At 37.7% G+C, this 12,696-nt stretch overlaps 1 protein-coding gene across 3 annotated transcripts in view; it reads right to left on the bottom strand.

Annotated features, from left to right (window-relative positions):
* MTTP (microsomal triglyceride transfer protein) overlaps positions 324-12,696 on the bottom strand; it is a 59,868-nt gene continuing 47,495 nt past the window's right edge. For all 3 annotated transcript variants that reach the window (NM_000253.4, NM_001300785.2, NM_001386140.1), the window contains 4 exons: positions 11,181-11,408; positions 5,223-5,347; positions 3,090-3,260; positions 324-1,644 (listed from right to left, as the gene is read on the bottom strand). In NM_000253.4, coding sequence (NP_000244.2) covers positions 1,473-1,644; positions 3,090-3,260; positions 5,223-5,347; positions 11,181-11,408 — 696 coding nt within the window. In that variant the 3' untranslated portion in view covers positions 324-1,472. The remainder of the gene's footprint in view (positions 1,645-3,089; positions 3,261-5,222; positions 5,348-11,180; positions 11,409-12,696) is intronic.

Raw genomic sequence — 12,696 nt, 5'->3', positions numbered from 1 at the left:
TGCTACCACATACCATGCTCCACCCACCACCTTAGTTTCTGATTCCTTTCTTCCTTTTTAGTAACATGACAGTAAAGGGGCCAGTCCAGAGCTTTATGAAAACTGGGGTTATGGCATGTTTTCAAGCTCACACGTCCTTAAGAGGTTCTGACTGCTGATATTTTCAGTGGCCCATTTTTCAAATGGGTCTGGTCTCCCATCTAGAGAACCTGGCCTGACCTGTATTGCTGCAGAGGCTTAACTGTGTATGTGTCTAGGCTCAGAAAGTGGCAGGAATGAGAAATATGGTGTTGGAAGTAACAAAAGACAAAAGGAATTCAATATGATTTCTACATATTTATTTTATCACACTTCGTTTTCAATTTACAACAAATAGTGGGCTAGCTAAACTTTCATTTCATGTGTCTGTGTTTAGTGGAAAATAAGGACCTGTCATTTGTTTTGGGTTTATCACCACATCTGTTTATTAATAAATATTTGCAAATGTTCAACATGGATCTTTTAATTCATACAAATAAAAACATTTTTTTCCTTATTTCATATTTTGGAAATCCAAATCCACCAGTTTCTTGAAGCAATGTTCTCTTAGTCATCCTAGCTATTGTGCAGAGTACAGTTAAATGAACTAGAGCTCTCACCCCCAAAAAGGTGAGATAAAATGAGGATGTCCCTTAGAGGACAGTGTACCATATTACAGTCTCAAAAAGACACAGCAAAAGAAAAATCAAATGGAGTTTCTGAAATTAATTTTCCTGATTCCTCTGTGCTAGGTCCAATATTTTTGCAGGGCTGGAGGTAGAGACCTGAATGTCTTTGGAACAACCTCACTAAAATGGTCAGCAGAAAGATGAGATGTTATTTCTATGTGCCTTCTACCTTAAGGCTTAAAACTAACAATAACAGAGACATAAATATTAATTCTTGAAGTTGGCTAACAAGTCTTTTAAAAGTCTTGTCCCTTCTCCCTGGGCCCCCAACTCCAAAAAAAGAGAAAAAAAATGGTTTGTTTGTGTCTTACTTTTTTTTTTTTTTTTTTTCCTGATTAGGGAACGTGTTTGGTTTTCCCGTCATGCTTAAGGAAGTCCTATCAAGAGCTTCATATACATTGATCAAAAATTGTTGAAACAAAATTGGGTTCTCCTTGTGTGGTTTTGTTTTTATTTTTGTTTTTAACAAACACTAGTTTCCTCTTAGAGAATAACTATTCTGACTGTACCAAATGAGATTTGAGAGAGGTATAAGTAAACTAAGAACGTTGTTGAAAGCGTCACATGATGATTCAAAATGACGCTGTGGGTAGCATACTGCATATACCCAAATTTGATCAAACTGCAGTTTTTTGTAGCTTTTTACAAAAATCTTAAATACAGGTAAATATGTAAACGCTGTGCTCTCAGAGAGCAAGTACTTAGTCATGCCACATTGTGTCCCTTTCGGGGAGACAAATTCAAGTAAAATATCACAGGTCAGTTTCAAAACCATCCGCTGGAAGTACTATCCGGCTGAGGGGCAAACACCACTTTGCACATCTCTGAGTTCTCTTGATGGAGCGGGAATTCACATCCTGCTAATACGCTTTCTTTTCTTTTCTGAGAGACATAACCTCTGCCTGTGGACAGCCTTTCGTACTTTTTCTCAAATTGCCTGTACAACAACAGCAACAATAACAGAATTACACACACAGTTAAGTCACCCTATACCTCTCCAGCCAAGTTACTGAATGTACTTGAAGTTTCTGTTCCAAAGCAATCTGAGAAAGGATATGAGTGTCAAAGGCTACTCCATGAATGGGTGATTTTCTTCTCATTTCTTTTTATATCAACAGAAACACTTCAAATGCCTGGGATATGGGAGTCCTGCCATACATTTTTCTAGAATGAAAGACTAAATTCATTTCAGCTTTTTGGTGATGCCATTAAGCTTTGCAGGCTGTGCTGTGTCTCACCCTTCATTCCAGAAGCCCCACCTTGGGAGCACTCTCCTTTTGAGTAACAGGCAAGCCCAGCTGGATTTAAGCAGAGAATGCGGACAGAGAAACATTCTAAGAGCTCTGGCCCAAGGCAAATGTGGAACCAAACCAATTAATCATGTGGGTGGGTTGGTGGTCACTGCATTTCAACCATTAGAAGGTTGGGGTTTTTAAAATGCATTTGTGGAGGTTCATTCTAGATATAACTTAATGTAAGTTAGTGACAGCTTAATAGTTTAACTATAAAGCACAATCTTTTATTCTCTGAAAATACAACTGACTCGTTTACTTTTATATAATCAATGCGTTTTTTAATATGAATCATGAAATGTCAGTAAAATAATGAAGGTGCTCAATTTTGGCCTACTTAAAAAAGGAGATGATGTAAGATGTGGCTTGCTGTTTTAACTGTACAAATGACCCTTATGCTTACCGTAGGTCAACTATTATGAAAGGGTCAGTGCTACCTAGACTCAAGGCATTCTAGCTCTATGTGATAGTATTGTTACAAATAATGGTTACAAAATTCAAATGACACAGCACAAATGTTACATGGAAATTATATCTTTGTATTTTAAAACACTAACTATTTTACCAAAAGCATTATTTAAAAAAATTCAGAATCCCAAACTCTGAAACTTGAGCCAAAACTTAAACAGGGTCAAGTTGCTGCTATATGGAATACTTAAAAATTGCGAATTCATTTTGGCCCTTAAACATGGTAAATGGATTGCCAGGTGTTTTATTTGAAATCTTTTGTCCAGCAGTTTATTGTGAAGATACCAGACAGTAAATGTGTATCTGATTTTTTTTATGAAACTATGTGGCAACTCCTATGGTAAATCATAGGCCTTTCTTTCCTGGATAAATTGTTTCTGGATTAGAATATGATAACTATCTCCAGAATCAAATGAACTAGTCATTAGATTTTTTTTTGGTATCCCAGAAACTGACTTTTTTTGGCCTTATCAATTATTCTTCTACTCATTTAAAGAAAATTCATCTTTCCCTGGGTTTCTACTGTTTTGTTTTAATTCTGAAACTGAATGTTCTAAACTGAATGCAAGTTCCTGGTGCACTGGGGATGGTCCTGGAACATGACCTGAACGCTGCATCTTACCTGAATGGAGCTTCATCCTTGTCCATCTGCATGCAAACTAAGAATGGGTACTGAGAAAACTGCACTGTGGAGATAAACTCCAAGCCTGCTTCTGTTTCTGTACTGGTTTCCAGGCCAGCTTTCACAAAAGAGGAGTCCACTGTGATGTCAGTGGTTATTACCACAGTCACCCTAAACATTTGAGAAAAAAAGAAAAAACTTGTTCATATTATATTTAATGGTATTGGACTAACAGCTGTAACTTTACAGGGTCTGAACGTATGATGCCAGTGACTGGAAGGAAACACTTAAGGGATTCAGAGGTGACCTGGATGTGCTTAGAGTTCTGCTGGTAACCAGGGCCTGGTGAGTCTCAGATATTGGGCAGGGAAGGTTTGCCCTTCCCCTGAGCTCTCCCCTGCCTTCAGTTGCAGATGTGGGGAGTGTCTGTAAGATACTACATTGTTTTGTATGGGCATAACAAAGACCAAAATGAAAACATTCTTGGAACCCAGTCCTCTCAGCAGGTCAGAAATACCCAAGTTATATTAAAATGGAGTCTAAACTCACCAAGAAGACAATCGATGCTTATAGTTTTTTGTTAACTATCTCTCTGTTGGCTTCTAGGCAGCTATTTTAATTCCATTTCATTACCTTCTCCAAAGAGTCTCTAGAGGCGTAAGCCCTTGATTGCCAAGATATTTGAAAAAATATTGTGTTACAAAAAATCATTCTTACAGTGGGGCATGTACAGTAGGTCCTAGGAGGAAAAATATGGTGGGTCCTTTAATGATGCTCTAGATAACTGGATAAACAGATTGCATTGGCTGGGGAATGTGCCCTGGATAATGATGAAGAGGATAAATAATTTCAACAGAAGACTTACTTCTACTGTAATTGAATTGTGGACTTTAAATCAAACTGTGAGAAACTGCTTTCACAATTAAATGAGAGTTTTATGCCCTTATGTTTTGACAGGAATATTAATTTTTGCTGCGCAAATTAAAACCCCTGCTGCTGTTATGATCAGTGTAAAAATAGGTCAGAGGTCGTTTTAATCCCTGAATCACTTAGAGTACCTTCTGATGTCCTATATTCAGCAAAGGTTTAAAAGATATTTTTTTCAAATGAACAAGTGGAAATGGAAGACAGATTGGTTACAATATGGATAAGGGTAGATTCTTAAGGATACTGTGTACTTTTTTAAAAAATCCAAATTACTTTTTGTTGTTGTTGCTGTTGTTGATTTCTCTTTGCAAAGAATTCAATTCCATTTCATTTGGAAAAACTTCTGTCTAGAAAGTACTTTGGAAAGAGGTGAAAGATGACTGATTATGTGGGAAGCCCTAAGTTATATTGTGAACCTTTTGATGACCAGTGTCATTTTTCATTCTGTGTTTCCTTTTGGTAACACTGTGGGTCACACTTCACATTAAATGTGCTACTGTTTGATTGCTCTCAGTTCCTTCATCCATAGCTCAAGATGAATCAAAAATTTGATTTTATCACATATCTCACTTTTGCCTGAATGTGTTTTTAAATATCAAAAAATTAAAATTAGTTGCATTTCTATTTCCTTTTTAAAAATTCTGTAACAGAAGGCTAATAATTTTCATCTTCACACTAGTTCAAAGACATTGTTTTATATTCAAAGTAAAACACTTTCATTAAATCTCACAGGTAGATTAGAAAAATTAAAGGAGCTTAGAGTATTTTATTTAGAAAAAGGAATGCTGATGAAAAGACTTAAGGACTCTTAACATTTAATAGTTAGTTTCTGCACAGATGAAATTATCTATTTTATTTTTCCCCACTGAAGACAACAAAAGAGGAAAGTTTACCTTAAAGTGAAATTTCTTCTCTTGGTGGAATACCAAAAGAAGATGAACCATCTGATTCACAGGGCATCCTGTCTATGTATGTCTTTAAAAGCAGGAAAATTCTTGGCTGAGTCATATTAGGTACTGACCTGCTCATAAGAAGCTATAGACAGAATAATTTCCTATGATCACTTCCAACTCTATCGTTTTATAATTCCAAATAGAAAGCATAGATTTTGAAAAGTCAGAAGATTAATTCCCAAAACATATTTCGGAAGTTCTCTGTATATAGTCTTATATGTAATTCATAAATGTATAATGCATAAACACTTACCTATTTTTCACTCGGGTTTTAGACTCACGATACCACAAGCTAAACTCCATTGCACCTGAAATATCAATAGCTAGACCACCCTGGACCTCTATATTGGCTTTTAGTCCAGATTGTAACTGAAGTTCCTAGAAGAAAAAAGCATAATAATAGTTATAAAAATAATAAGTACAATTTAGTTAACCCCCTTTCCAATGGCACATTTGACCTCCTGCTGTAGATAATTCCATTTGAGTTGTGTTGATGTTGGAGTCTTTCTCTAGGCTTGGAAACATGCTGTCCTAATTTTAAGCACCGGAAGTAGACTCTGTTGATTTGCTAAATTAATTAGTCAATTAAAATACCAGAGTGATGAAGTGCCAATTAAGAAGGATGTTTTCCTTCAATCATTGCTACACTTTGAAAGGAACAATGGTTCTCAAAGTGTGTTTCTGTGAACAACAGCATCAGCATTGCCTGGGAACTGGTTTGAAGTACAGATTATAAGTTCCCCTTCATACCTACTAAATTAGAAACTCTGAGGATGGGGTCTAGCAATCTATGTTTTAACAAGCCCTTGTATGATTCTGATCCACCTAAATTTGGAAACTTTTGAACTAAGGAAAATGAAGGCATCTCCATCAGAAATCTAGCTGTGGCTTTTTGTCCAGGGAAGTAAGGGGAGGAGGTTTGGATCAGGTGATCTCTCGAGGTCCTTCAGCACTTCTCTAGTTATGTGCTGTGGCAAATACAGTCAACTGCATCCTGCTAGAAAATAACAGACAAGATTTAAAACTCCCAGTGGAGTGTGTTTGTCCGTTAGTATCCAAGGGGAACTTGTTATAGGACTACCTATGCCCAGCCCTGAGTATAACAAAATCCAAGGGTGCTCAAGTCCCTTATATAAAAAGGCATAGTATTTGCATGTAACCTACACCCATCCTCCCATACACTTTAAATCATCTCTAGATTACTTATAATACCTAATACAGTGTAAATGCTATGTTGCTGTTATGCTGTATTTTAAAAATTGTATGAATATATACTGTCGTTTTGCTATATTTTATTGTTTGGTGTTTTTTTTCCAAATATTTTTGATCTGAGGTTGGTTGAATTTGATGAGGAACCAGCGGTTACAGAGACGCCAACTGTATACAAGTTCCAGGAATTGCCTACATCCAACTAGAAAACGAAGGCAAATTTAACTAAGCCTAATACCCTGCTGTTTGACATTTGAAATGACACTGAGTTAATAGTCAAGTTCAACATGAACTCAATAGTATTTTTCATAGGGACAGTAATTATTTACAAACATGGCCCATCCTGAGCAAATTTTGTGGTTGTCTGAAACCCATTGTTTTGTGCTGTTTGCCTGCATTTAGCCTTTAAGTCTTGCATTTTTTTTTCATGTACATTAGTTGAGGTGATGTTGGCACAAAACTTTTTAGTTGGATTGGAATCAGATTGCCTGGGGACAGTGTTGGAAGTGATAATGATTTTGAGAAAGAGACTCAGTATCCTTAATTTTGATATTCCTCCAAAGATCTTAAATTCCTGGCAACCGGCAGGATGACTAACTTCTTTATGTAACTGCCCTACTCAGACCAAACAAGCCATGCATTTGCCAGCTATAACTGCCATGATTTAACTTTCTAGCAAGGATTGTGTTGATCTCCCTGAGTTCTCTTCACTTTCCAAAAAAAGGTCACAGGAAACCCCAGGCAAAGGACTTGGTTTACAACCAGGTGTATTAAAAAAGTACGGTTGCGGCATGAAGCTACTTTCAGTCTGAAGGACACTCTTTGATGGAAGCATGAGATTCTCAGTGCCATGCTCAGGACACATTAGGAGATAGCTCTAAGGATACTTAAAGAGACATTTGATATAGGACAAAATATGGCTGCATGGGATGAAGGGGTTGTTTGAGGCATTATAACTAATGTGATGGACACAAACTATCCTGAAGAAAACACAATAGTCATGCCCACATTTTCACCTATGCCTGTGAACTATGGGACCAAAATATGAGAGTTCTGTATGTGTACTCCAAACATGATTATTTCCAAATGAAAGCTATGGTGTGCCTCACCTCAGAAATATTCCTTTCTTTGCATCTTTTTCTCTCTTCCTAATTTGAAAATTATAATCTTGTTCATCCACCCAGTCCAGCAGAGGCCTGTGATGTGGATCTTGGCCTTCCCACCAACCATATATTAAATGGAAGGCAAAATACACCAAGTGCCATGGAAAAGGCCATTTCATGGCTGTTAGACAACGCACCTTTTGTGGGGAGAGAGCATTTCCATTGCAAGGTGGGTTATGAGGAGTGCCTTGGATTTCTGGGAAAATTCTACTTCCTTACACAAAGGGACAAAAGAAGAATGCATGTGCAAAGAGGAATTTTCTTGGACCCCCTTATAAAGATAAACCACTGACTCCTGTAGAAAAACAAAGCACTCTTTCCTTTTTGAAAGGGACTAAGCCACATGGTGCTAATTTTTAAGCAGTATAAAGTAAGTAGAACTAACAGGTTTTGAGCACATACTGTGTGCCCAAAGCTCTACAAAGCTTTGGTGTCTCATTTAATCCTCATACCAATATTCCATGGTAGGCATTATATCTTAAGATTGAAAGGAAAAATCAGGCTCAGAGGCTACACATGAAGCCAGAATAAACACTCCAATTGTCTCTAGGGTGAAGACATTTCTTTTCTTTCTTTCTTTGAGATGGGGTCTTGCTCTGTCACCCGGGCTGGAGTGCAGTGGTGTGATCATGGGTCACACCAGCCTCAACCTGCTGGGCTCAAGCAATCCTCTCACCCCCACCTCAGCCTCCTGAGTAGCTGGGACTACAGGCATACCCCACTATGCCCAGCTAATTTTTTTATTTTTTGTAGATCTGGGGTTTCACCATGTTGCCCAGCCTGGTCTCAAACTTCTGAGCTCAAGGGATCCACCTGCCTTGGCCACCCAAAGTGCTGGGATTACAGGCGTGAGCCACTGCACCTGGCCTGGGTGAAGACTTTTCTACTAATATTCATGGCTATCACAAACTCATACCTCTCTTTTGTCTCCTGGTGTACAAGAAAGCCTGTTCTAAGAAATATTGCAAAAAAGGAAAAAAAAAGAGAGAGAGAGCATAGGTTTATGTCCTTGTTTGGCCCAGAGTGCATATTTATTTAGATTCTTTCCTATGAACTAGAGGAAAAAGTTATTAGAACTTTGTAGCTAATGTGACCTCTTTGATCCTCTTGGTCCCATAAGTGTTTCTTATAGCTCAGATGCTGACATTTTGACAACTCATCCTGTTGCTTCCATTTAGGGAAATATGTTCTTTACTGGCTAAAGAGGATCCCCTTATTAAACTGACTTTATGAGACATCTTTCTCTGAAGAGTAATCCAATTAGCTGAAGAGAGAAAGTGTGAGCAAGCACAGAGTAATTCCATCTGCCCTGGTGGCTGTGATGGGCTACCCACTGCCAACATTTCCTTCAGTGTCAGCACTTGACCTAGAGTGGTATGTGTCTCTGAAGCTAGGATGGCATTACTGGAGTGCTCTGCAGAGCCAGGGGGCCTCAGACAGCTTAATTTGTATAATAACCTCAGATCTGCCAAATACTCCAACCTGACACACAGACACTGGGCTATGTTTAATAGCTAGGGGGCAATCTTTCTCATAGAATATGCCTTGCCTTAGCTGCCCTAGCTTAGTGAATAGAAAAACTGTACAAGATAATCTAGATCAGGGATTGGCAAACTATGGCCAGCAGGCAAGTCTGGCCCACTGGCTATTCTTGTACATAAAATTTTATTGGAACACAGCCATACTCATTTGTTAATGTATTGCTGATGGCTGTCTTCACTCTACAGTAACAGAATTGAGTGGCTGCAACAGAAACCATGTGGCCTGCAAAGCGTAAAATATTTACTTTCTACCCTTTACAGAACAAGTTTGCTGACCCAGATCTAGATTACTCCTCATGGTTTTACACCCCGATTCAAATCCTCAGGCATTGTTTATGGGTAGCTAAGCACATACAGGTGGTGTTGAGCTGTCCTCTGTGTCCTAAAACGTGGACTACTTTTTCAGTACTTATGCTGCCTTTAGACGATTCTTTCATTAAAACTGGAATTGTGCAATGTAAAATTCTGATATAATTTGAGAACTGTTTTTTTCATGTGTGACTTGAGGATTAAGGGATACAAGACGCACTGCTCTTTGTCCTTTCTACATTTGTATTGACAGAAACAATTTTGTTCAGACACCCATTGAAAAACTATGTTCAAAAGCTTCTCTCTCAGCTAGAGATAGCCATGTAACACCGTTTTGGTCCAAAACCTAGACAGGGATTCCAAACAATTCTTGAAAAAGAGTCAGACTCTGTGACCTCTTATCCTTCCCTTCTTCCATCTTGGAATGAGGAAGTGGTGCTGGAAGTGGAGCAGCCATCTGATAATCACAAGGTGACAAGCATGAGGTCAAAAGTCACAAGTAAGAATGGCTGAGCTGAAGGAAGGCAGCTTGGATTCTGATGATATCTTAAGATTTCCATATTAACCCTGGACCACCTACTTCCAAATGTTTGTTACACTATAAAAGTGAAACTATTTAGTTAAGCCACTCTAAATTGCTTTTTGTTTTTGTTATATACAGCTATCCTGAGCTGATATGAGGAACAAGAAAGATAGAAAATTAACACTGTTTAATCCCAAATAATGAGCTTTTGGAGGAGTTTTAATACAGTCTAATACCTAAGATATCTCCCAGCCCTTAAAATCTATGATTTCATAACCAGAACCTAACAAATCAGAATCCTCAAATTATCTGGCAAACAAAAAAGCTGATAAAATCTTCAGACCACCTGTTCCAGGTGCCTCATTTTACTAGTATGAAATTGTGGCTTAAGGCTATTAAGTAACTGCCCAAGAGCACATAGCAAGAAGGTAACGGAGGCAAAATTCAAACGTAGGCTATTATCCATTAATGTATTAAAACAATAAAGTAAACTTTACAAGTCAATCCAATCATCTGTAAATTTTTATTTCAATCTCCTTATATATTCTCAATATAATAAGTATGAATTAGAGTACACAGTGATCACTTTGATTCCTCATAAGATTTTATTTAGCAAATATATCATTTTTTATGTTGCTATGCTTAGTGAAGCAGAAAATAAATCAAACTATTAAAGAAAAATTTTAAGCACCAAACATTCAGACTCAAAGGTTATTCAGATTAACCCTCTTCTGTTTTTCAGAAAATCTAATTAGGCAGACCATCTCCATCCCACAGTATCTTGGCCACTTAAATCTTACTGCATCAAAGATAGTATTGTCATTTTTTGGTACAGTATCATAAGATTTCGGGCCACAAAAAATTGAAAACCATTTTGAAGAATGTGGCTCTAGAGAATGAAAGTACTCCTATACTCTAAGAATGAACACATCTTTCTGAGATTTTATATACATGAGAATTTTGGGCAAAGAGTCTTCATGATTTCTTGCATGTGGCTCATGGCCGTGGTTGCTTGTGCCTCTACTAATTTGGCAGGGTCAAAATGATGCACTGTATGCATCTTCATCATCTCTGTCATTACAAATGTCATCAGTGACTTATAAGGCCACATAGTTCAGCTCCTGCCTTCAGGATAAATATCACCTAAGCCCTCGTGCCTGAGAGAGCCAAGTGAGGAGACAGTGGTAGCTCTATTCTGTTGTGTCCTAAACTTTCTTGTTTCTGTTAACATCAACATTTTCTCTTTGCCTCCAATTAAAGGCACTTATTAATCATCTAATATATGAAATTATAACATATCTATAGTAAAGGAGAAAGGGGACCAATACCAAGAGGGCCAAGTGCTTGGAATATGAGCTCCAAGATGGGCACAATTTTGTCTTGTATCCTCCAAGAACTAAGCATATTTAAAACGTGCCTGGCGTATTTTAGGGACTCAATAAATACTCACAGACTGAATGAATTACCTGAGAATGATCTATTAGCAGAATAAGTCCTTTCACCACACTGATAGGGTCGCCAGATGCTGACAGCATTTTGGACATCAAATCACTGTATCCGTTGAAAAAGGTGACAGGTCTGAGCTGAACATCAAAGAGGATGGCTGACATACCAGCATAGGAGTCAAGGTTCTCCTCCCCCTCGTCAGGGGTGGCTGCGATTAAGGCTTCCAGTCCTTGGGCTTCAATAACCACCTGGATAAAATCAATATAATGTTCATGACGCAAGCTCCCTGCCTGCTCTGTAAATAATGGTGAAGCTTCTGAGCTGCAGCTAGAACTTCTCAAGGGGCCAAAAACTTAAATATTTGCAACAGCTAAAAACAAAAACTAAAACAGACAAAAACCTCTGTGCCTGAATATAAGGTGGGTTAGTTTTTCATTGAATCCTCACAACCACTCTTTGAAGTACATATGATATTACCCATTTTGTAGATGAGGCAAAAAAAGTTTTCAAGTTTACTCAGCTAATAAATGTCAGAGGCGGGACCCATACCCCTTCTGTCTGACTATGAAAACCATGAGCTTTCTATTTTATGATGGCATCCTACAGACTCTTAGTCTTTCCAGGACTGTCATATACAACGCATCAGCTGTCTTGCAGAGCATCTAAAAGTAGATGGAAAGGTGTTGGCAGAGTCATTCTAAGGCTGCTGCTATGTGAGGACATGGTATTCTCTAAGCCATGACTCACCCCATTCCATGTCAAACTTTTCTCCCTAGCCAAAAAAAAAAAAAAAAGTCGATAAACACCATGAGGGGGCTAACACACTTATTTCCACAACAAATAGGAATCCTACATATTTTCTGTCCTCCATACCCAGCCCTTTAACCCCTGGATGTTTTGCATTTCAAAGTACATATCAGAAAACAGATTGTGATTCCTCAGGACAGAAAGGCATAGTACTCTGACTACAGTACTACCAAAAGGTATAGTAATATAAGATTGATAAAGACTCAAGTTTTTATAGCATTGGATCATTTTAAAAACTTAAATGGCTGTATTTACAAGGTAATAATTTCATGTACATAAAAACTAAAAAGAAAGTACATGTCATTATTAGGAAGTCTTTATAGACCATCACCTCAATTTGGATAACACTAAAGGGATGGAAGTCAGCCAGCTGTTGAATGCCTACATTTTATTCTTTTCTCTTCTAGCAGTGTTGGAGAAATACAGATTGACTCTTTAGAGCATCATATTCTATTATGAAGGGTTTTATTATGGGGAATCAATCTCTTCATAGAAACAACCAGAAAAGGAAAATATATTCTAGAATTAAATACTTGGGGGTGAGAGGAGGCTAAGAAATATATCTGTGAATAAAAATAAAATATTATTTTTAAACGTTTATGTAAGAAATATTGGCACAATTTCAGTTTTGTGAATATGTGCACCTTTGAAAAGACAAATGGACATTTGTCAAGTTCAATGGATCAAATTACTTAGGTTTCAAGTTCAAATTCGAAACTTTCTCTGAGT

This window comes from Homo sapiens, chromosome 4 (assembly GCF_000001405.40).
Source record: "Homo sapiens chromosome 4, GRCh38.p14 Primary Assembly".
NCBI lineage: Eukaryota > Metazoa > Chordata > Mammalia > Primates > Hominidae > Homo > Homo sapiens.
This window is presented reverse-complemented; position numbering and strand designations above follow the sequence as displayed.